We start from the raw sequence: 23,739 nt of genomic DNA on the forward strand, positions 1-23,739 counted from the left end.
GGTGCAGCAAACCAGCATGGCACATGTATAGCTATGTAACAAACCTGCACATTCTACACATGTATCCCAGAACTTAAAAGTAAAATAAATAAATAGATAGCACAAAAAAAGAATACCTAACAATCCCAAATATGTATGCGCCTAATAAGAAGACTTCAAACTATATAAAGCAAAACTTGACAACCGGAGAGAAAAATAGACAAACGCACAGTCATAGTAGTAGAGCTTAACACTTCCATCTCAGGAATTGCTAGAACAGGTACACACATACGCAATTACTAAGGATATAGAAGTTTGGGCAACACTCTTAAGCAAGTTGACCTGATCGACATCTATAGAACACAATAACCAATAACTGCATATTACACATTATTTTCAAGTGTGCAAGAAATATTAAATAGGATGTCATATCCTGAAACAAAATGAAAATTTTCAATAAATCTCAAAGGATTGAAATAATATATAATGTGTTATCTGAACACAATGAAATTAAGCATCAATTATAAAAGAGAGTCCAACATTTGGAAATTAAACAATAATCCATTATCAAATAATGAATCACAAGGAAATTTAAAAATATTCAAATGGAATGATTATAAAACCCAAACTAATAAAATGTATGAGATGCAGCTAGTTTTAAATGCCTGTATGAGAAAAATAAGAGATGTTAAAAATCAGTTTTCTAAGTTCTGTCTTAAGAAGCTAAAAAAACCATTCCACAATGTATACATATTCTGAAACATCTTGTTGCATGCCATAAGTATATATCATTTTTATTTGCCAATTAAAAAGAAAATAAATTGTAAAAAAAAATTTAAAAAATAAATTACATACCTTAAAAATCACTACTATAAGCCAATGTAGCAAAGATGGGAAGTTTTGTTCATGGGAGAAGAGAGTAAAGATGAGCTATAAAAAGTTAAAAAAATAAGGCCAGGCACGGTGACTCATACTTGTCACCCGAGCACTTTAGGAGGCTGAGGTGGGAGGATTGCTTGAGCCCAGAAGTCTACGACCAGCCTAGGCAACATAGTGAGACCCAGTCTCTACAAAAAATAAGGATAAAAAAATTAGCCAGGCATGGTGGCATGCACCTGTAGTCCCTGCTACTCGGGAGGCTAAGGCGGGAGGATCCCTTGAGACTGGGAGGTTGAGGCTACAGTGAACCATGGTCGTACCACTGCACTCCAGCTTGGGCAACAGAGTGAGATCCTGTCTAAAAGATCAGGAAAATCAGCAAAGCAAATCAGTGATCCTTTAAAAAGTCATTAAAATGTATAAAGCCCCAGGATTACAGAATAAGGAGAAAGAGGAATTAGAATATTAGAAATGAAGAAAAGGCTATCATTCTAGAATCTAAAGATACTTAAAAGAGTCCAGGCGCGGTGGCTTATGCCTGTAATCCCAGCAATTTGGGAGGCAAAGGCTGGTGGATCACAAGGTCAAGAGATTGAGACCATCTTGGCCAACATGATGAAACCCCGACTCTAAAACTACAAAAATTAGGAGAATCACTTGAACCTGGGCTGGGAGGCAGAGGTTGCAGTGAGTCAAGATCATGCCACTGCACTCCAGCCTGGGACAGAGTGAGACTCCATCTCAAAAAAAAAAAAAAAAAAGATACTTAAAAGATGAAGAAAGGCATGTTGTGAAAATGTAGTACCAGTACATTATATTTGTAACTCAGATAAAATGGAGAAACTATTTGAAAAATATAATTTATCTACAAGAGAAACTGAATTTGTAAGTTAAAACTCCTTCCCAAAGAAAACTGAAAGTACTGAGACAATTGAAAATTTATATGAGAACAATAAACCTAGACCCTTACATAAATAACTCAAACTGAATCAGAGGCCTAAATGTAGGAGCTAACACTATAAAATTTCTAGAAGAAAACACAGGGGAAAATCTCTATGACCTCTAGTTAGGCCAAGAGTTATTACATGTGACACCAAAAGCATGAATGAGGCATAAAATTCATTCATTGGTCTTCACTAAAGTTAAAAACTTTGGCACTCAAAAATACACAATTAAGAAAACAGACAAGGGGAAAGGTTGGAAGTCATCTTTCTGGTGTAGGACTTGTACCCAGAACATATAGGACACTTGGCCGGGAAGATTTCTTGAACTCAAGCGTTCAAGACCAGCCTGGCAACATAATGACATCTCTACAAAAATTTTTAAAAATTCACATGGTGTGGTGGCATGTGCCTGTAGTTTGGGAGGCTGAGGTTAGAGGATCGCCTGAGCCCAGGAGGTCAAGGCTACAGTGAGTCAGGATTGCACCAGTGCACTCCAGTTTGGATGACAGAGTGAGACACTGTCTAAAAAAATAAAAATGAGGCCAAGGCAGGCAGATCACAAGGTCAAGAGATCAAGACCATCCTGGCCAACATGGTAAAACCCCGTCTCTGCTAAAAATACAAAAATTAGCCGGGCATGGTGGTGTGTGCCTGTAATCCCAGCTACTCGGGGGGCTGAGGCAGGAGAATCGCTTGAACCCAGGAGGCAAAGGTTGCAGTGAACCGAGATCACACCAAGGCACTCCAGCCTGTGAGACTCTGTCTCAAAAAAAAAAAAAAAAAAAAGTCTGGGCACAGTGGCTCACACCTGTAATCTCAGCACTTTGGGAGGCCAAGGAGGGTGGATCACAAGGTCAGGAGTTCCAGACCAGCCTGGCCAATATGGTGAAACCTGGTCTCTACTTAAAATACAAAAATTAGCCGGGAGTGGTGGCAGGCGCCTGTAGTCCCAGCTACTTGGGATGCTGAGGCAGGAGAATCACTTTAACCCGGGAGGTGGAGGTTGCAGTGAGCCAAGATCGCGCCACTGCACTCCAGCCTGGGCGACAGAAGGAGACTATGTCTCAAAAAAAAAGAGAGAGAGAGAGAGAAAGAAAACAATCTAATAAAAACGTAGGTAAAAGACTTGGAAAACCAGGCACGGTGGCTCACGCTTGTAATCCCAGCACCTTGGGAGGCCGAGGCGGGCAGATCACTTGAGGTCAGGAGTTCGAGACCAGCCCAGCCAACATAGGAAAACCTGTCTCTACTAAAAATACAAAAATTAGCCAGGCATGGTGGTGCGCACCTGTAATCCCAGCTACTTAGGAGGCTGAGGCAGGGGAATTACTTGAACCTGGGAGGCGGAGGTTGCAGTGAGCTGAGATTGCGCCACTGCACTCTAGCCTGGGCAACAGAGTGAGACCTTGCCTCAAAAAACAAAAAAAAAAAGGAAAAGAAAAGAAAAGAAAAAACATTTCACCAAATAAGACATACAAATGGCTACATGGCTGATACACATGTAAAATGTGATAAACATTATGAGTCACTGGGCAAATAAAATTTTTAAAATTGCTTTTAGTTTATTTTTTCTTCTTCCTGCCAACTGTTGCTACCTCTGAAGAAGCAAGTAAAAATTTAAACCTCCATGAGATACAACTACACACTTACTAGGATTGCCATAATTAAAAAAAAAAAACAGACAATACCAAGGGTTGGATGTGGCAGAACTGGAGTCCATATTTTGTTAAAGTGATGCAGCTACTTTGTTTTTTGTTTTGTTTTGAGATGGAGTTTCTCTCTTGTCGCCCAGGCTGGAGTGCAGTGGCGTGATCTTGGCTCACTGCAACCTCCACGTCCTGGGTTAAAGCAATTCTCCTGCCTCAGCCTCCCAAGTAGCTGGGATTACAGGCGCTCATCATCACACTCGGCTAGTTTTTGTATTTTTAGTAGAGGTGGGGTTTCACCATGTTGGCCAGGCTGGTCTCGAAATCCTGACTTCAGGTGATCCGCCCACCTCGGCCTCCCAAAGTGCTGGGATTACAGGCGTGAGCCACCACGCCCAGTCATGATACAGCTACACTGGAAAACAGTTCATTTATTTTAAATTTAAGCATAATCTTACCATATGACCCAGTAATTTCACTACCAGGAATCTAGCCAAGAAAAATAAAATATATGACTTAAAGATAGGTGCATGAATATTCATAGCAGCATGATTTCATAGCCCCAAACTGTAGATAGTCCAAATGTCCATCATCTGGTGAACAGATAAACAAATAGTATATCCATTCAACAGAATATTATTCAGCAATAAAAAGGAATGAAATACTGATGCCTTCTACTACACGGATGGACCTCAAAATCATTATTCTACATAAAACCAGATGAAAAGACGACATACTGTCTGACTCCATTTACCTAAAATGTGCACCCCATTGTCCAGGCAAATGTGTAGAGTCAGTGCTTCCCTAGGGCTGGGGTGAGAGCGGAATGGACTGCAGACAGCTGTGGGAATGCAGGGGCTGAGGGTACTCATCCTAAAGTGGGAGTGTGGGGATGGTATAAATTTACTGTAAATTGAATAAAAATTGTGGTATTGTGTCTTCACAATGGCTTGTAGCCAAGGGTTTTTTTTTCCCCTTCCTTTTGTCATCTCTATTGAGGCATAATTTACATAATATAAAACTCATCTATTGCACCTTAGATGGATTTTTTTTTTTTTGAGATGGAGTCTCACACTTTCTCCCAGGGTGGAGTATAATGGCACGATCTCGGCTCACTGCAACCTCCGCCTCCCAGGTTCAAGCAACAATGAGAAAAAGTCTTAGAAACAGCTGTTTCCAGAAAAAAAAAAAAGTTACAGGAGACCTCATACAGTATGGCACATTTTTATGAGGTTTATAAAGCCAAGAAAAACTAGATGGCACATTGCGCGTGTGAATGATAAAATTCTAAAACAAGAGAAAAATTCAGGAACATCCCACAATCCAGGCTGGGGAGGGGGCAGGTAGGGGATGGTGGGGGGTGTGCAGGATGGGTGCTATGGCTGAATGTGTCCTCCACTTTCATGCTGGTTAAAGATAAACACAGCCCATTGCCAGAGTGGTGAGGGCAGACTGTGATTAGTCATAACTGTTGCAATGGGGAAGAGTCTAGCGTGACCTGACTCAGCTTGAATCTGCACGGCGGTGACTGTGGGTTTTAAAGGGACAGTGAGGGGTGGGGGTCCGCTGGGGCTCAGGAGAGCTGGGGAAGTGAAAACTTAAGAGTGGGAAGAGGGTGGGTCCACAGGAGACCCGTCTATAATAGGTTTGTTGGCCACGGTTATGGAAGTGAGGTCCCACCCCCGCAGAGGCTGGGGCACGGGGCCCTGTTCTCGGGTTGCTGGAGCCAAGAAGAGATCCTTTGGGCAGCTTAAGTTTTCTCAGGCAGGCATTTGGGGGGCTAGGTCACCCTTGGGATGCGGCCTGGAGTTCTTACAAATGATGCTGGCGTCCGTTCAATCCTTTGTGCGCCACGTTGAGGCCTGGTGGAGCAGAGGGCCTGGAGGAGCCTGGCTTGTGTGAGGTCAAGGGCAGACTTGATGTTATAACCCCCGGCTCCTCAGAATGTGACTATATTTGGAAATAGGGCTCCCTGTCCCCAGGAAGGCCAAGGCGTTGCCATCATTGTGATTTCCTACAGTCCTGGCGCATCTGGGTGTCCTCACCCTCTGCTGGAATCTGTAAATTATTGGTCCAGCTTATCTGTCCATCTTATAATAAATGACATCTCCATACCCTGCCATGGCCTTGGGGTGGGTGCAGTGCACCTCACCATCCTGGGACTGGCTTGCCGTGTGGTTTGTTTGGCCAATGGGGTGTCAGGTGGGAGGGAGCAGAGAGGCCCAACTGGAGAGTGGGATGGAACACGGTGAGGCCTGACTGGTCAAAGGGATGTTGGGGGGATGCCAGCGAAGTGGGCCCTGGATGTCCTCCCACAGCTACCGTCTTGCACCTTTGCATGTTCATGGGAGGCACATGGTGACCTGCTTGTCACAGAAGAATGAGACACCCATAGAATAGATGCAAGCTGCATCTGTGGCCCAGAGCCAAGACTGACCAAGCCCAGCCAAGCCCAGCCAAGCCCAGCCCACCTGCAGAGTAAGAGGTAAATGCTTGGCGTTCATGGTACTAATTTTGGGATGGTTTGTTATGTGGAATTCTGTTGAGACTAGCCAACTGGAGTCACGTCACCCTCCACATAGCCTGCTGGGACAATGTCTAAGATGACCCAAGGCCAGCTCCCCAGAGGGTCCCCAAACTAGTCCCAGAGCCACTTCATTCACCCTCTGGTCTGTAACCTCTTTAAAATTTCCATCTAAGGGCCGGGCATGGTCGTTCATGCCTATAATCCCAGCACTTTGGGAGGCCAAGGTGGGTGGATGGCTGGAGTTCAGGAGTTCGAGACCAGCCTGGCCAACATAGTGAAACCCTGTCTCTACTAAAAATACAAAAAATTAGCCGGGTGTGGTGGCAGGCACCTGTAATCCCAGCTACTGCTGAGGCAGGAGAATCGCTTGAACCTGGGAGGCGGAGGGTTGGTCATTCATTTTGAGGCTGTAAGATGCTTCCTTGTCTGGCTTCAGTGTGACGTATTTGTGCTTTCTCCCGTCCTGGCCTTTCCAGTGCTTTTGCTTAAATGCATGATCCCGCGGGGCACATTTTGGCACCTGTGTCCTGGTGCACGCCTCCATCTGCTTCTCTACTGGAGTCCAAAGGGGGAATTGTGGGGCTGTTGCACTTGAGAATTCAACCCTGCACAGGAGTCCCCAGATGCTCCCAAGATATTGACGAACACCCTCTCACAGCAGCGGGTTCCGTGGGCTTCACCAGCTCACCAACACAAGGCAGCTGCTTTGCTGGTGCCAGTTGAGTGAGTGTAAGACTCACTCATCTGAAATACAATCTTGGATCAAATTGCATTTCTCTGACAGCTAGTAAAGTGAAGCATCTTTTATATTTTTATTGGCCATTTATTTCTCCTCTACTGTGAGCTATTGGTTTATATCTTTTTACCTATTACTATAAATGTATCTCTATCTTTTCCCTATTGAATCATAGGAATGCTGCATACTATCTTTATCGGATTATAGTCTGGATACTAATCTTCATTGGATGTAAGAGTCGCCAGTATCTTCTCTCAGTTTTTGGCTGACTTAATTTTCTTTATGGTATCTTTCTGATGAACAGGATTATTTCTAGTATAGTGAATTTACCAATATTTATTTTTATGGTGTTTTTATATCTTGTTTAAAAATCCTTTCTTAGCCTAAGAACAAAGTAAAATTCACTGACATTTTCTCCTAAGGATGTGTATAAACTCTTGCACTGGCGCATAGCATACCTGTGGGAAACTACACAGGTAATGGGCATGCATCTCAACCAAATTTCACGCCAGTGTAACTACCAGCACAGGAAGTAAAATGTTGCCAGCATCTTAGAAGCCCTGGAATTACTAAGCCCTTCCCAGGACCATACCACCCAGCAGGGGGAGGAGGCACCCTGATCTGGGAAGCCCTCCTGCCTGACACCCATTTGGGGTCATCTGCAGTGGCCACTCTGTACTTTCTCCAGTGTCCTGGGGTGGAGGTCGTGGTTCTCTGCTCTCTCCACAAACATGTGCATGTCTCAGCCCCATTCTCTCTGGCCCAGGGACCAGTTTGGTTCGTGCGTCCCTCTCCTGAACACATTTGATCGCTTACTCAATCCCAGAGTGTTCTTACGAAACCAAAAAGAACAGATAGCTGGTTCTGTGTCTGTGAAATGCAGGCCCTCTAAAATGCAAAGCCCAGGGAAGGAGGATGTCTCTTCCCTGGTCTAAGTGCTGCCCTGCGTCGGACTCACCACCCTTTCATTCTGTGTACTATGATTATTTCCCTTCCTACTGCTTGTCCTTACTGAAATAATGACGTTTTCAGTTGCTTAGTTTTTGTTGAACCTCTTGGGAATTCTTCCTGCCCCTTACAATAGGCTTACCATGTAATTTTCCACCAAATCAATTTCTCCTTGCACAGTGCATTCTGGGTCCAAAACCTGGCTCAAGTCTGGAAATGGGCCAGGAATCATGATTGTTACTGAGGTGCTTGCCCTTGGCTTCCTGGTCACCCATCCTTGATATCTCTTAACTGTATGGACTGAATAGTGCCATCACTGGCTGGCTTAAGACTCCATCCCTAGCGTTCTCACTGGCCTAGGCCAATACCAATGTTCACAGACTGTTGCCCACCCTGGCACCTCGTCAATGTATTTCCTCCAATAAAGACAGTTCCTTTCCAAGAGATGTGCTGATCTAATTGTGGCAGACAGAATAATGGCCCTCAGAGACGTCCATGTCTGAATCCCCAAAACCTGTGTCTATGTTAGGTACATGAATTCAGGTTAAAGAATTTAAGATAGAAGGTGGGGTGCATGGGGATTGGAGGCTCACAGGCCATGAGATTGGCTTGGGATGGGGTGATGGATGGAGCTAAACCATTTTGCACCCAAGTCTCAAGGCCAGTGTCTTGGTCCATTTTCTGTTGCTACAAAGAATACCTGAGGCTGGGTTATGATTTATACAGGAAAGATGTTTACTTGACTCAGTTTTGAAGGCTGGGAAGCCCAAGAGAACGGCAACAGTTTCTGGTGGTGCTTTTGTCCTGCATCATGACACAGAAGCGAAGTGGAAGGGGGAGTGGGACAAAACATGAGGGGTGGCCTCATGTTATAATAACCCAACCTGTGGCAGTTAATGCTGTCCGGAGAGAGCGGGAAGCCACTCACTCCCTCAAGAATTAGCCCAGTCCCTAAAGAGCAGCATTAATCTCTTAATGGCCTAACCACACCTTAAACCCCACCTCCCAACACACCCACACCTGGACCAAATTTCCAGCATATGAATTCCAGGGACCCACTCCAATCACAGCAGCTGGGAAAATGGAGGCCAAGAGCTGGGGATGAGTCTGAGTCTCCCTGGGTACTGAGACAAGTTCACCACTTTGGCTCATCTGAGAAATTCATTAACAATTCATTACACACCCCCTCTTGATGGGCCACAGAACACACCCCCAGCTTTTTCATGGCAGCCTGAAGGCTGCAGCTTCTTGTCTTTCCACACCATTCCACATCTTCCTGGCAAAATCCCAGTCCTGGGGTGTGCTCTCAGAAGACCTATATGAGGAAACAGAGGTCATCTTCACTTTGCAGTCTGAACTCTTTTCAAGGAAGAGCAATGTATTTCAGTTGTCACATTGTATGATGATTGGTTTAGCAGGCACAGCAGAGCAGAAATGGAATCAGCTGCCAGGGGCATTTTGAACATCTTCCAAAAAACAATTTTAGGCCATTTTGAAATCTGTAAACTTACGTAGAAATGTGTATTGTCCTTACATTCAACTTTCTATAAAGTATATTTTACATTTTAAAAAAAGACTGCCTTTCTTTTGATGTTGTTGACAAAAAGAGTCAAGCTCTGTCAAATACTTAAAGAGGTTTATTTCTGAGCTAAATATGAGTGACCATGGCCCAAGGCAGTCTCAAGAGATCCTGAGATGTGCCCAAGGTGGTTGGGTTGCAAGATGGTTTTATACATTTTAGGGGAACATAAGACATCAATCAATGCCTGTGAGGTATACATTGGTTTGGTCTAGAAAGGAAGGACAACTGAAAGTGGGATGGGGAGAGATGCAGGAGAGTGACCTTACAGGTCATAGGTGGACTCAAAGATTTTCTGATTGACAATTGGTTGAAAGAATTATTATCTAAAGACCTGGAATCAATCAACAGGAAGGAGTGTCTGGGTTAAGATAAGGGGTTGTAGAGATCAAGTTCTTAGTGGTAAATGAAGTCTCATTGGTGGCTACTGTTAGAAACAATTGATGGTAAATTCTGATGTTTCTGATGTGGTTTGGCTGTGTCCCCACCCAAATCTTATGTTGAATTCCCACATGTTGTGGGAGGGACCCGGTGGGAGGTAACTGAATCATGGGGACAAGTCTTTCCCATGTTGTTCTCATGATAGTGAATAAGTCTCACGAGATCTGATGGTTTTAGAAAGAGGAGTTCCCCGGCCGGGCGCGGTGGCTCACACCTGTAATCCCAGCACTTTGAGAAGCCAAGACGGGTGGATCACAAGGTCAGGAGATCAAGACCGTCCTGGCTAACACAGTGAAACCCCATCTCTACTAAAAAATACAAAAAATTAGCCAGGCGTGGTGGCGGGTGCCTGTAGTCCCAGCTACTCGGGAGGCTGAGGCAGGAGAATGGCGTGAACCCAGGAGGCGGAGCTTCCAGTGAGCCGAGATCGCACCACTGCACTCCAGCCTGGGTGACAGAGCAAGAGTCCGTCTTAAAAAAAAAAAAGGGGGAGTTCCCTGCACAAGTTCTTGCCTGCTGCCATCCGGGTAAGACGCAACTTGCTCCTCCTTGCCTTCCGCCATGATTGTGAGGCTTCCCCAGCCAGGTGGAACTTAAGTCCAATGAAACCTCTTTCTTTTGTAAATCGCCCAGTCTTTGGTATGTCTTTTTTTTTTTTTTTTTAAGACAGTCTTGCTCTGTTGCCCAGGCTGGGGTGCAGTGGCGCGATCTCGGCTCACTGCAAGCTCCGCCTCCCGGGTTCATGCCATTCTCCTGACTCAGCCTCCAGAGTAGCTGGGACTATCGGAGTCTGCAACCACGCCCAGCTAATTTTTTGTATTTTTAGTAGAGACGGGGTTTCACCGTGTTAGCCAGGATGTTATCGATCTCCTGACCTCGTGACCTGCCCGCCTTGGCTTCCCAAAGTGCTGGGATTACAGGCATGAGCCACCACGCTGGCCGGTATGTCTTTATCAGCAGCGTGAAAATGGACTAACATGGTTTCCTATGTAGACCTTCAAAGGGTGCTAGACTATCAGTTCATCTCTTCAGGATCGGGGAGGCCTGGAAGGGTAAAGATCCAGTTATGTTAGATTCTTCACAGATACAAATCTCCGCCCCACAAAAGACAGCTTTGCAGGGCCATTTCCAGATATGAAAAATAAACAAATTTGGGGGTAATTATCTTGATTTCCTTATCTGCCATGTGATATTACGCCAGAGTCAGTTGGAGTTGGTATCTTATTGCTACAGAGTCTGTTCTGTCAGTCTTAAAACCTCTATTTTATTTTTGAGACAAAGTTTCACCCTGCCACCAGGCTGGAGTGCAGTGGTGTGATGTCGGCTCACTACAACCTCCACCTGCTGGATTCGAGTAATTCTTGTGCCTCAGACTCCCAGGTGGTTGGAATTATGGGTGCACGCCTGGCTAATTTTTGTATTATTAGTAGTGATGGGGTTTCCCCATGTTGGCCAGCTAGTCTCGATCTCTTGACCTCAAGTGATCTGCCTGCCTTGGCGTCCCCAAGTGCTGGGATTACAGGCGTGAGCCACCTCGCCCAGCCAAGATCTCTATTTTAATGTTAATGCTGGTGAGTCTGTCTAACCCCAAAAGGAGAGGAGTATCATGAGGCACGCCCAGTTCTCCACTGCTGGTCACGGTCTGAACTAGGAAGCGCGCCCAGTCCTCCACTGCTGGTCACAGTCTGAACTAGGAGGTGCACTCAGTCCTCCACTGCTGGTCATGGTCTGAACTAGTTTCAGGTTTCTTTGGAATCCCCTTGACAGAGAAGAGGGGTCCATTCAGCTGGTTGGGGGACTCAGACTTTTGTTTTTGGTTTACAATGTAGAAGAATATTAATTACTGGAAAAACATCACACATAACTTATGGCAGCTTCACAATAAGGGATTACATAAAAAAACTAAAGCAGAGTAAAACTGTTTTATTTCCTGTACTGGAAAATATTACTTTCTCTGGGCAAGATGGTATTGCAAGTTCAAGCTTAGAGGCTGATACGGTTTGGCTGTGTCTCCACTCAAATCTCATCTTCAATTCTCACGTGCTGTGGGAGGGACCCGGTGGGAGGTAACTGAATCATGGGGGCAGGTCTTTCCCAGGCTGTTCTTGTGATAGTGAATATGTCTCATGAAATCTGATGATTTTAAAAAGGGGAGTTCCCCTGCACAAGCTTTCTCTCCTTTTGCCTGCTGCCCTCCACGTAAGATGTGACTTGCTCCTCCTTACCTTCCACCATGATTGTGAGGCCTCCCCGGCCATGTGGAACTTTAAGTCCATTAAACCTTTTTTTCTTCCCAGTCTTGGGTATGTCCTTATCAGCAGCATGAAAACAAACTAATACAGAGGCCCTCCCACAATTCTCCCCAACCATGGCTACAATAGGTAATTTTTATTTAAAACAAATTTTTTTTTTTTTGAGACAGGGTCTTGCTCTGTCACCCAGGCTGGAGTGCAGTGGCATGCTCTCGGCTCACTGCAACCTTTGCTTACCAGGTTCAAGCAATTCTCCTGCCTTAGCCACCCGAGTACCTGGAACTACAGGTATGCACCACCACGCCTGGATAATTTTTGTATTTTTAGTGGAGATGGGGGTTTCGCCATGTTGGTCAGGCTGGTCTCAAACTCCTGACCTCAGGTGATCCGCCCGCCTCAGCCTCCCAAAGCGCTGGGATTACAGGTGTGAGCCACCATGCTTGGCCTATAATAGGTAATTTTTAAAACAAAAATTTAAAAACCACCAACACTTCATAGACCAAAAATGAATCAGAAACACATAGCAGCTCACAGGACCCAGACTTTGGGCCTGTGGGGGCTCTGGGCCCAGAAAGAGGGAAAGGTGCTTGGGAGGGCTGTCCCTGAAGAGTGAGGGGGCAGAAAGTGCCTGAGAGTAGTGGAGAACAGCCAAGAGCATCGCTGAAAACCAGGGCTGGAATAAGTCTCTTGCCTCTGTAACTGCCCTATGGGTTCACCTTGCCTGCTGCCTAGACAGAGCCCATTTACCAAGACAGGGGAATTGCAATGGAGAAAGAGTAATTAACGCAGAGCGGGCTGTGCAGGAGACCGGAGTTCTACTATTATTACTCAGTCAGTCTCCCTGCGCATTCTGGGATCAGAGTTTTTAAAGATAATTGGGAGGGTGGGGCTTTGGGACATGAGGAGTGCTGATTGGTCAGGTTGGAGATGGACTCATAGGGGGTCGAAGTGAGGTTTCCTTGCTGTTTTCTGCTCCTGGGTGGGTGCCCGAACTGCCGGAGCGAGATTACAGGTCTGGGTGGTGTCGGCTGATCTGTGGAGTGCAGGGTTTGCAAAATATCTCAAGCTCTGATCTTGGGTTTTACAATAGTGATGTTATACCCAGGAGCAATTTGGGGAGGTTTAGACTCTTGGAGCCAGAGGCTGCAGGACCCCTAACCTGTAATGTCTAATATTGTACCTAATTTGTTAGTCCTGCAAAGGCAGATTGGTCCCTGGGCAAGAAGGGGGTATTTTCGGGAAAGGGCTATTACCCATTTTGTTTCAGAGTCAAACCATGAACTGAATTCCTTCCCAAGGTTAGTTTGGCCTATGCCCAGGAATGAACAAGGACAGCTTAAAAGTTAGAAGCAAGATGGAATCGGTTAGGTCTGATCTCTTTCACTGTCATAATTTCCTCAGTTATAATTTTGCAAAGGCGGTTTCACTTCCATGAAAGGAATGTGAAAAAACATACAACTTCTGCAGCGATATCTGGAGATGGAGACGAGGACAGCCTTCGGCCCAGCCTCTTGCTGGCTCCAGGACTGGATCTACAGTTCCCAACGGCAAGGCCAGGCAAGCACCCAAGCATGACCCCAAAAGGCTGGACGGAGGCTCCTGCCAGAGCATGACACACAGTGAATACTCAGGGAAACAGAACATAAGCCCCCTCTGCAGAAGCCTGCAAGCCTAGATTTCAAAACACAGGACTCCAAGAAGACAGATAACAGTATCAGCCATCAACTGGTAAATTCCGCCCAGGGGAGATGAAAACAATAAAGCACAGTTTAAAATAAATGTGTCTACCCCGGGCAGTGGCTCAGGACTGGCAGTGGCTCACGCCTATAATCCCAGCACTTTGGGAGGCTGAGGCAGGTGGATGGCTTGAGCTCAGGAGTTCGAGACCAGCCTGGGCAACATGGTAAAACCCGTCTCTACAAAAAATACAAAAATTAGCCCAGTGTGGTGGCACATGCCTGTAGTCTCAGCTACTTGAGGGGTTGAGGTGGGAGGATTGCTTGAATCTGGGAGGCAAAGGCTACAGTGAGCCGAGATCACACCGCTGAACTCCAGCCTGGGTGACAGACTGAGACCCTGTCTCAAAAAATAAATAAAATAAATAAATAGAGGTGTTTGGGATTCTCATGGTAGATAAAGAAAGAAAACAGCCGTGAACATTAAAAACAGATTATAAAACAAAAACTGGAAGAAATTAGACACAAAAAAGAAAATTAGAAATAGAGACCAATGCGGTTTTATTTAAAAACTCAACAGATTAAACAAACTAATTGGATGGAGACAGAACTAGTAAACTGGAAGATCGTAAACTGAGAACACAGAGACCAATACTGGGAAGCGCAGTTTGAGAGATGGAGAAGACACTGAATGGGTGCAAGCTACTCCCTTTTAGGAGATCCAGAACAAGAATTATGTCAGGGTGCAGAGGTGCCACGGGAGGACAGATGGCCGGGAAGGGCTGGGAACTGAAACTTAGCTATCTCAGGTGAGAAGACACGGCCAGCGCCAGGCAACACAGCCAAACCAACTTATACTCAGAAATACCACAGCGAAATTTCAGAACAAAGACATGAAAAGAGAAGATAGATTTCCTTCATGGAAGTAGCAATGCCACGGGCAGCAAACTTCTCGGCAGGGTAGCAGCAGTCGCTGCCCGGAGGAAGGTCCTAAAATCAAGACAGGAAATGACTCAACAAGGAACGCGGCACCAGCTCCACAGCCACTCAATAATCAGATCAACACGAACACTTCATTCGTTCCTACGTTGGGAGGCTCACCCAAGAATACTTGCCAAAAGGCTACCAATGGATACAATCTGGCTGGGCAAAAACTGAGCACAGTAAAGGGCAAAACATGCTCGTACATACAATTAACTACTGACTACAAAAATTAATGTAGCATGAAAAATGTGAAACAAAAACCTGAGGCAACAATAACAAGCAAGAGGGAATACGCTCAAATGGTTAGTAAATGTTTTATTTGTGAAAAGAGATACTGGAATGCTGAAACTTGTTAGAAATAGCATCGTGCTGAAATCTTCCATCCCCTTCGCCACTCACGGCAACACCCATGTCACTCCTCATTCTCTCCTTGCTCTGCCCGGGTGGCTGGCCTCCCCACGCTCCTGAGAAGGTACTGGTTGTGCTTTCAGCTTCCTGATTGGTAGATAGTTGGGTATGTACGAAAACTTTTTTTTTGAGACAGGGTCTCGCTGTCACCGAAGCTGACATTAAGTGGCACAATCATAACTCACTGCAGCCTCAAAATCCTAGGTTCAAGCGATCCTCTTGCCTCACCCTCCCACACAGCTGGAACTACAGGTGTGTGCCACCACACCCAGCATTTTTTTTTTTTTTTTTTTTTAATTTTTGTAGAGACTGGGTTGCCCAGGCTGGTCTCCAACTCCTGGCCTCAAGCGATCTTCCCACCCTGGCCTCCCAAAGTGCTAGGGTTACAGGCGTGAGCCATCGTGTCCGGCCTAAAAAACATTTCTTACTGTGATCTCTTCACAAAAATAAAACGTAAATCCCCTCAAAGTGGATAGTCGTTTCTCCACATAATTATGTCGTTTCCTTTAAAAAGTGGAATCAGGCCGGGCACGGTGGCTCATGCCTGTAATCCCAGCACTTTGGGAGGCCGAGGGGGGCGGATCATGAGGTCAGGAGATCGAGACCAGCCTGGCCAACATGATGAAACCCCGTCTCTACTAAAAATACAAAAATTAGCTGGACGTGGTGGCGCGCGCCTGTAGTCCCAGCTACTGGGGAGGCTGAGGCAGGAGAATTGCTTGAACCTGGGAGGCGGAGGTCGCAGTGGGCCGAGATCGCGCTACTGCACTCCAGCCTGGGAGACAAAGCAAGACTCCACCTCAAAAAAAAAAAAAAAAAAAAAAAAGTGAAATCATGGCAGACTCCAGCTAAACTGTCCGGGTTTCCAGAGTGTTTCTGGGTGGGACAGAGGGTGCTACTTTTCATTATCAGTTGGATCCTGGAATGAAGGTGCACGGGACTCCAGGGTTCCACAGGACCACGCGAGCACCTCCCCTCCCGCCCGGTGTCATTTCATCTTCTTCCAAATTCTCAAAACCCTTCCTCAGGACACTCACTGCGTTTCCTCGCCCCCCTCACTCCTCCGTCCAGAGGCAGCCTTACTTCTCCAAAGAGGACGCTCTGAGTCTGCGTTCCCCTGGCAGCAAGTCCTGAGGCAAGATTTGGGGACAAGCAGCTCCTGTGGGAAGTGGCTCCAGGAAGCCCCAGGAGAGACGCGGGGAGTGAGCCCAGCGGGAAGGACAGGCAGCGAGGACCGCTCCAAAGGTGGTGCCTCAGCAGCAATTCTTTTCTGCTCGGCTGTCCTCGAGCAGCCCCGCCCGCCCCGGGCCCTCCGGCTCCCCAGACGGCACTTAGCATCCCGCTCTCTTCCTTCCCCTCTGTGCCAGGCCGGTCGCCCCTCCAGACCCTCGCGGTCTCTACTTGCCCGTCGACCACCACCCCTTCAAGGCCGCGGGCGCGGAAAAACGGATGCTACCGTTGGCCGCGTGCGTGCGCAGGCGCACCACCCCCTGCCACCCCCGCGCAGGCGCACCACAACCCCCCCACCGCAAGCGCAACCCCCCGCCCCAGCGCAGGCGCACCACACCCCGCCCCCTCCCGGGCAGGCGCACCACACCCGACCCCCTGCCGCGCAGGGGCACCCACACCCCGCCCCCGCACGCAGGCACAAACCCCCACAACACGCACACCCCCGCGCGCAGGCGCACCACACCCCTCGCGCAGGCGCATCACAGACACACTCGCGCTCAGCGTGGCGCCTGCGGGATTCCGTACCGGCGTCTCCATGGCGACCGCGTTGGCTGGGTGGCCTCCATTGTCGGGCTGCTGCTCTCAGCGGCGGGGCTCGCCAGCGCTTCAGTGGGCGGGGACGCGGCAGGTGAGACGGGGCGGGTACGGCCAGCTCGCTGAGCCCTCGAGGCGGGCGGCGGCAGGAAGGTGGTGCCTCGGCCCGTCGTGCCCTGTCGCCTAGCTCCAGCCGCGATGCTGACCGCAAAGGCTGCCCTTCTGAGGCCTGGAATGTGAGGCCCAGAGCGTCGGACCCAACTCAGCCTCGCCCGGATGGGGAAATCGAGGCAGGGAGCGGGGGTGGGCGTGCGTGGGGATCCCTTGAAGGCAGCCTCGGAAACCCCACGGAGCCTGCGCTGCCTGGGCCCTGTGTGAGTCCAGGCTGTTGTTTCACTTCTGGTTTTAAGATACTTTCCCTGTTCTGAGGTTTGAAGCCTCCCCTCCTCTGTTTTAAGTTCCGTGATTCGGAGAAAACAAGTGAACTGACCGTGAAAAAGCCCGCGGGCTTCCATGGAATGCAGGCTGCCTGGGGTTGAACCCTGCTGGGTCCCGGTGTCGCCTCTACCCCCCAATTAACTGCGCCCCTGGAACAGTTCCCTAACTGATCTGCGCCTCATATGCCAATCATTGGGCTGTTGAGTGACTTGAATTAGGTGAACTGATGCATTCCAACGTTGATTCTTATTGCCGAATAAATTGTTTGGAAATTGCAAGTGGAAGTGTGCCTCGCTGAATGAGATTTTGGTGAACAATACTTCTGAGTAAAAGTGTTGCTGGACAACGAAAATTCGAGATTAATTTAACAGGTTTTTCCCCGGTGCTTAACTGGGTGTAAGCCAGACTTAGTTCTGGTCACTGGGTCAAAATGGTAAACAAAAGACAGGCTTCCTGGCCTCAAGAAACTAAAAACATAGTTCAAATGGCACAGAACCACACCAGAGGTAAGAAACAGTGCAAATTTCCACCCGCCCCTAGTCATTTCATGGAAGCGTTGCAGTTGATTTACAGGCTTTGAAATGTTCCGATCTGTTTACATCCCTAAAATGATCATTACTATTGTGCGCCTTTGCGTTTTCCAGGAGTTAAATCTTGGAACTCCATTGTACAAAGTGAGAGCAGAGAATTTTAATCTGAACCTCTTTGTATTCCTTTTTTTTTTTTTTACATGTTTAAAAGTCAAATTTTTGCTACTGCTTAGGAAAAATGATAGCTTTTAAAGCAAGTTACATTACAGTAGATCTGCCACACAGCTATTCTGTTTTGCCTCGGTATAATTAGTTGCTTCTACGTTTCCCTTTCCCGTGTCTCCAGGTGACTCCAGACCAAGGAGGATGAGCTGCTGTCCCTGGAAGAGAACGGATGGAGGGAAGCAGCTCCTACGAAGTTCCCTCTGTGGCTGCTGCTGATCTGGAGGAGGGTGCTGGTCAGACTAGGAGCTTGCCTGCCACCCCCTCCAAAGATGTTCACAAGGGTGTTGGAGGCATCATCTTTTCCTCCTCACCGATTTTAGACTTGAGTGAAAGTGGTCTGTGCCGTTTGGAGGAGGTCTTTAGAATCCCCAGCCTTCAAGTAAGTGGGGCTGCTCCTCAGGCTGTGTGCCCACAGGTCCCCTATAGACAGAAATGGGAATGTACCCCTGGGCTTTATTTGTAGGCTTCTTTCTCTTTGGAATTGATGAATTCTAAAATTAAATAGAGGAAAGGTTAACTCATAGTTTCATACGCCAATCACAACAAAATGGGAAATTCATGATGGGGACCAACCAATGGAAATAGTACATCTATTTAGATGAAGGTGTCTGTTCTCTTCCTTGCAGTTCATCTCTCAAAACCTGTGGTAGAAACTACTGCCAAACACGCTTGGTCTCTTAATTAAAACACAAAACCTTAAAGAAAATCAGGCAACATGAGCAGTTAAAAACTTTGTTCTCACCCATGATTTTGCTCATGTTACACACTGGTTTTACTTTGTGCCCGGCCCTTCTCCGGGTCAGTCCGCAGTAGATGCTGTCTTGTCCATGTGATTTCTAGAGAAAGCTTCTGTGAGGGCACAGGTTTGATGTTAGACAGTTGAGGGTTCCCCCTGCAGCACTTGTCCCTGCTGGGACTCACAGAATTTCCTTAAACCTCATTTGGTTTAATCTGGAATGTCGGAATGATCATGTTTTCACATCATTTATTGTGAAAATGAATAATGTGAAAGTTCAGTGTCTGGAACATAGTTATGATATTGATTGACTTTCTTTTTGTATTTTTAGTAGAGATGGGGTTTCACCATGTTGCCCAGGCTGATCTTGAATGCCTGAGATCAGGTGATCTGCCTGTCTCAGCTTCCCAAAGTGCTGGAATTACAGGTGTAAGCCACCGCACCTGGCCAGATTGACATTTTTGAGTGCTTCTACAAGAGCTACATATTTAGATTTTTAGTGGCTGCTTAAGTTATAAACTCTACATTTGCATTGTCTTTGCTGTCACGGCAGCGCTGGTCTTGCTCTTTCTTTCCTTCATGCTGACATCTAGGGTGAGGCACTGGTCACAGGGACCTGCCTTGTCCTGGCTCCTGTTACACAGGTGTCACTTTTAATGAACAGATATCCTCAGCCCTGAATAAGGGATCCAGCAGAGCCCTGAGGTTTCTGTTACCTTTATGCACAAAGGGAGAAGGAGGAAATTCCAGAGGTCTTCAGGCTTGATGAAGAAACTTGATAACTGTTTATACCTTTCAGAAGACAAATGTCAGTATAAATTTTATTACCATGGCATAGAGTCTTTAAATGTGGTAATCAGAGTGGTAGACTTTCTGCCGCTGTGGCTGCAGTCTCTAAAGTCATAAACAGCACTTCCAGAGATCCCCCATCCTCACATGAGGCTCCCAGGACCTAATAGGAAAGATGGAATTTGTATTGTGACATAGCCACCTCACTGTTCACCACATGAGAAACAAACTTACCCATCCAAACCCAAAGAATGGACTCAGAGAACAGTGGAAGAAAGACTTTTTAATGACGGTCTTGCAAGATTGGGTGTCTGATGGGCAGGCACACCCAGCAGGGTTACAACAAGCCATTTATCCCCTGGTGCGCAGGTCCTGCCCCAGTTCCTCATAGGCTGAGTACTATGGGGGTTACAGTCTTCCCAGACTTCGCCTATTGGTTGTTGGGTAGGGGCTGTAGGGCACAGGTTCCTCCCCCAGATCCTCATAGGCTGAGTACTATGGGGGTCACAGTCTTCCTGGACTTCGCCTATTGGTTGTTGGGTAGGGGCTGTAGGGCACAGGTTCCTCCCCCAGATCCTCAGAGGCTGAGTACTATGGGGGGGGGTCACAGTCTTCCTGGATGTCGTCTATTGGTTGTTGGGTAGGGGCTGTAGGGCGCAGGTCCCTCCCCCAGATCCTCATAGGCTGAGTACTATGGGGGGGGTCACAGTCTTCCTGGATGTCGTCTATTGGTTGTTGGGTAGGGGCTGTACGGTGCAGGTTCCTCCCCTGGTTCCTCATAGGCAGAGTACTATAGGGTCGCAGTCTTCCTGGACGTTCCCTATTGGTTGTTGGGCAGGGGCTGTAGGTATTTTCTTTAGGGTTGTCCTGCTTTATTTTGTCGTGGCCCACAATGCATTGCAATCCCAGTCAGCTCAGGGGCTCTTCAAGTATTTGATTTATGACCTAAGTAGCTGGGCAGGCTGATAAGAACGGACAAAACGAGCTATTTTGCGGGCTAGTAAACTTTCATCTTAGACTAATCTTCTTTGGTTTGGGTGAGGGCAACTAAGGGGTGGGGAATGGCCAACAAGCAGGCATCGGCTATCCAAGTAGGGGCCTAGTACATCCTGTTTTTCTGTAGTTTGCTGACCTAAGCCAATTCAAGGCACTTTGTCTTGGAAATGGACCACTGTATATATTATTTCCTTCAACCATAACCAGCTCCAAGTCACAGGTGGTGCCTGCATTTCCAGAGGTGCTGGGGAGGAAGAAGAGTGTTATCTTTCTGAGATTCCTTTTACTGGCATTGAGAACGACATGGTTTCAAAGCTGAGCACTGGAATCAGCTTGCCCTGGGGGGGGAAGAACAGGACCAAGAAGTGTAAAACCACTCCTGCAGAGGCCCGAGAAAGGCAGCACGTGGAGGCATGCACATGCCTGTATGTGGGGGGTGCACACCCATATACGTGGGGGCACACACTGTGACCTGTGATTGCCAGGATGCTTTCTGGAGACCGAGCCAGCTGCCAGCAAGCAGTGACTCGGGCAATTTCCTAACAGAGATAAGATAGTGTTTCCAGTGCCTTTCTGAAGAGTGTGATTTTTCCAGTCAGTGTTTCTCCAGTTGGAATCTGTCAGTGATTTGGATCAGGGACACGGTGTTGAGGGCGGAATGGGGAGGCATGTGGTGCTCTGTGCAATGTGCAGTGTGTGTTTCATAGAGAAGGCAACGTAATCACAACAGCCAATCCACGCACTGTTCTTTAGTGCTTGCCCACATTGCCCCGTCTCACAGATGAGGACACTGGAGCACAGAGAGGTTCAGGAACTTGCTCAAGGTCACACAGCCAATAGATTTTGAAACCTAGATGTGGATCCAGGCAGTCTGGCTTTGAGATCATTGTTCCGAACATCTGTTTCTACTCCCTCAGGAAATACAGATATGGATATAAATACATATAATAATGTGAGTATAAACAACTAGCAGCATTAATGACAGTATTGTAAAAATTAGCTATGATCCTTCCACACTGTGACTGTAAAATTGTGTGAATGTTATATGCATTTTACACAGCTAAAATCAGCGTGTATACGTTCATCTTCCACCTTCCCTTATTTGTCACGACTTTACAACGCCACCGAGTTGATGTGTCAATCTGCTTCTGAAATGCTGCTCGCTGAGGCTTTGTTTGCTGCTGATCGTAGAGAACACCACGGCAGACATCTCTGTCCCTGTCTTTTAGTTTCATTTTAATGATTGAGTTGGGCTGAGTCCCCCAGACCAGACATGGCTCTGGCTATTTGCTCAGTAAGCAGGCGATTTCGGGGGCTGCCGAGGGCCAGGTGCTGCGGCAGGCACTGGAGAAACGGCCGAGACACTGAGTGTGGGGCCCCGGAATTCAGACCATGTCAAAGGCTTTGGGATAGAAACAGTGGTGTGCTGGGTCAGCAGCAGAGTGCCGGCTCTTCAGGAAGTCAGTTCCGGCTCCAAAGGCCGCCGGAAGGAGTCCTGGTTCTTTTCTTTCTGATTCTTTTGTCTACTGTTTACATCTTTTAAGGGTAAGAGATTGGGTTTTTGTTTTTTAACTTAGTATATACGGTTCTGGTTGTTAGTAGTTCTTTTGGAAATAGATTTTGGATATATCATGTTTTACAAATTAGTTGGTTAACAAAACATTCTCTGATTCTCTTTTCCATGGAAGCAATTGCATCTGCAAAGGAATGCCCTGTGTGTGATTCCTCAAGATTTCTTTCAGTTGCTTCCGAACCTGACTTGGCTGGACCTCCGGTACAATAGAATTAAAGCGCTTCCTTCTGGGATTGGAGCTCACCAGTAAGTTGTTTATGTTTCCAGATTTTAAAAATCATCTTTTCAGTGCACGAGTGCCTGTTCTTTCGCTCCTTGTCCTTTACTCTTGATTAAATTTTTACCTCGGAATAGAAACATTTAATAGTATTTTTAAAGCCAGCTAAGAGGTTGCGACGGCTGAATGTACCCAACACAGAACTATAACTTGGGATATTTGGTGCCACAGAGAATGCTGTAGCCACAGTGTCTTTTTGCTGGGCAGCCAGTGTGATTTTTGTCACAGCCGATTCCAGCTCTGACTCTCCTTGTGTGAAGCTGTCTGAAAATCAGAAATACCTCTGATGAGTTAAACCAGCAACTTTGGCCAGGCGCGGTGGCTCACGCGTGTAATCCCAGAACTTTGGGAGGCCGAGGTGGGCAGATCACCTGAGGTCAGGAGTTTGAGACCAGCCTGGCCAACATGGCAAAACCCTATCTCTAATAAAAATACAAAAATTTGCCAGGCGTGGTGGTGGGTGCCTGTAATCCCAGCTCCTCAGGAGGTTGAGGCAGGAGAATTGCTTGACCCCAGGAGGCAGAGGTTGCAGTGAGCTGAGATCACACCACTGCACTCCAGTCTGGGTGACAGAGTAAGAGTCCGTCTCAAAAAAAATAAATAAAAAATAAACCAGCTCCTTTGCTCCTGAGGGCTCCTGGGTAACCCACATTGGTTCTTGGCAAATAGTGAGAAATTCTTCTCACTTTGGAAAACTGGGAGCACCCAACCAAGCTCCAGGTGTCCTGTCCATTTCCACCACTTCCCTTCCAGGAGTTTCCTTGCATTCCCACTTGTGGGGTGTAATCCTGCCCATGGTGGAAACGTCACACCTCCTTTCCCCTCCTCAGCCTGGCCCTTCCCCAGCAGCCAGGACTCTACTCTCACTATGGAGACGTCCTCCTTTCCTGAGCTCTCTGCTTCTGTGCCCACATCCCCGGCGCCATGGCTTTTTCACCTTCTGAAGCCATGATTGCCCTTAACTCTTTTTCTTTTCTTTCTTTCTTTTTTTTTTTTTTTTTGAGACGGAATCTTGCTCTGTCTCCCAGGCTGGAGTGCAGTGGCGTGATCTCGGCTCACTGCAACCTCTACCTCCTGGTTTCAAGCGATCCTCTTGCCTCAGCCTCCCAAGGAACTGGAATTACAGGTGCCCGCCACCATGCCCGGCTAATTTTTGCATTTTTAGTAGAAACGGGGTTTTGCCATGTTGGACAGGCTGGTCTCAAAGTCCTGACCTCAAGTGATCTGCCTGCCTTGGCCTCCCAAAGTGCTGGGATGACAGGCATGAGCCCCCGCGCCCGGCTACCTGAACCTCTTTTGACAAGTGCTGATATGAAGGCCCCATATCAGCTGGGGCCACGGCAGCAGCCCATGCAGGAGGGGCAGCCTGGGCGTGGCTGGCCACGGCAGGGCCTGGGTGGGACTTCAGAGCT

General features: G+C 47.3%; 2 protein-coding genes across 36 annotated transcripts in view, besides 6 other annotated features; one reads left to right on the top strand and one right to left on the bottom strand.

The window, feature by feature from the left end:
* STK32C (serine/threonine kinase 32C) overlaps window positions 1-16,836 on the bottom strand; it is a 124,754-nt gene extending 107,918 nt beyond the window's left edge. For 5 of the 11 annotated variants that reach the window (XM_011539688.2, NM_001318878.2, XM_047425112.1 and 2 more), the window contains exon 1: window positions 16,037-16,481. In XM_011539688.2, the coding sequence (XP_011537990.1) occupies window positions 16,037-16,337 (301 nt within the window). In that variant the 5' untranslated portion in view covers window positions 16,338-16,481. Of the gene's footprint in view, window positions 1-8,370; window positions 8,975-12,380; window positions 13,531-14,151; window positions 14,598-14,891; window positions 15,087-16,036; window positions 16,482-16,754 lie in introns of those variants that run through there. The other 6 variants (NM_001318881.2, XM_017016100.2, NM_001318882.2 and 3 more) reach the window with 6 other exon arrangements.
* Window positions 7,373-7,462: an enhancer, noted in NCBI's record as "active region_4223". NCBI's record gives its function as "activates an Ori minimal core promoter by ATAC-STARR-seq in GM12878 lymphoblastoid cells {active_cell/tissue: GM12878}" and the evidence as "EXISTENCE:reporter gene assay evidence [ECO:0000049][PMID:35858748]".
* LRRC27 (leucine rich repeat containing 27) overlaps window positions 14,664-23,739 on the top strand; it is a 51,446-nt gene continuing 42,370 nt past the window's right edge. For 12 of the 25 annotated variants that reach the window (XR_001747213.3, NM_030626.3, XM_011540209.3 and 9 more), the window contains exons 1-3: window positions 16,794-16,857; window positions 18,078-18,335; window positions 22,166-22,296. Coding sequence is in view for 22 of the 25 variants with exons in the window: in NM_030626.3 (NP_085129.1) it covers window positions 18,126-18,335; window positions 22,166-22,296 (341 nt within the window). In the remaining 3 variants the exon portion in view is untranslated. Of the gene's footprint in view, window positions 14,894-16,793; window positions 17,708-18,077; window positions 18,336-21,940; window positions 22,023-22,165; window positions 22,297-23,739 lie in introns of those variants that run through there. The other 13 variants (NM_001143757.2, XM_024448208.2, XM_047425792.1 and 10 more) reach the window with 5 other exon arrangements.
* Window positions 16,077-16,611: an enhancer, noted in NCBI's record as "H3K27ac hESC enhancer chr10:134144980-134145514 (GRCh37/hg19 assembly coordinates)". NCBI's record gives its function as "activates a minimal SCP1, AML or CMV promoter by ChIP-STARR-seq in primed H9 embryonic stem cells {active_cell/tissue: H9 hESC(primed)}" and the evidence as "EXISTENCE:reporter gene assay evidence [ECO:0000049][PMID:30033119]".
* Window positions 16,077-16,615: a biological region, named in NCBI's record as "H3K27ac hESC enhancer GRCh37_chr10:134144980-134145514".
* Window positions 16,496-16,615: a silencer, noted in NCBI's record as "silent region_2954". NCBI's record gives its function as "represses an Ori minimal core promoter by ATAC-STARR-seq in GM12878 lymphoblastoid cells {active_cell/tissue: GM12878}" and the evidence as "EXISTENCE:reporter gene assay evidence [ECO:0000049][PMID:35858748]".
* Window positions 19,845-19,974: a silencer, noted in NCBI's record as "silent region_2955". NCBI's record gives its function as "represses an Ori minimal core promoter by ATAC-STARR-seq in GM12878 lymphoblastoid cells {active_cell/tissue: GM12878}" and the evidence as "EXISTENCE:reporter gene assay evidence [ECO:0000049][PMID:35858748]".
* Window positions 20,325-20,384: an enhancer, noted in NCBI's record as "active region_4224". NCBI's record gives its function as "activates an Ori minimal core promoter by ATAC-STARR-seq in GM12878 lymphoblastoid cells {active_cell/tissue: GM12878}" and the evidence as "EXISTENCE:reporter gene assay evidence [ECO:0000049][PMID:35858748]".

This window comes from Homo sapiens, chromosome 10 (assembly GCF_000001405.40).
Source record: "Homo sapiens chromosome 10, GRCh38.p14 Primary Assembly".
NCBI lineage: Eukaryota > Metazoa > Chordata > Mammalia > Primates > Hominidae > Homo > Homo sapiens.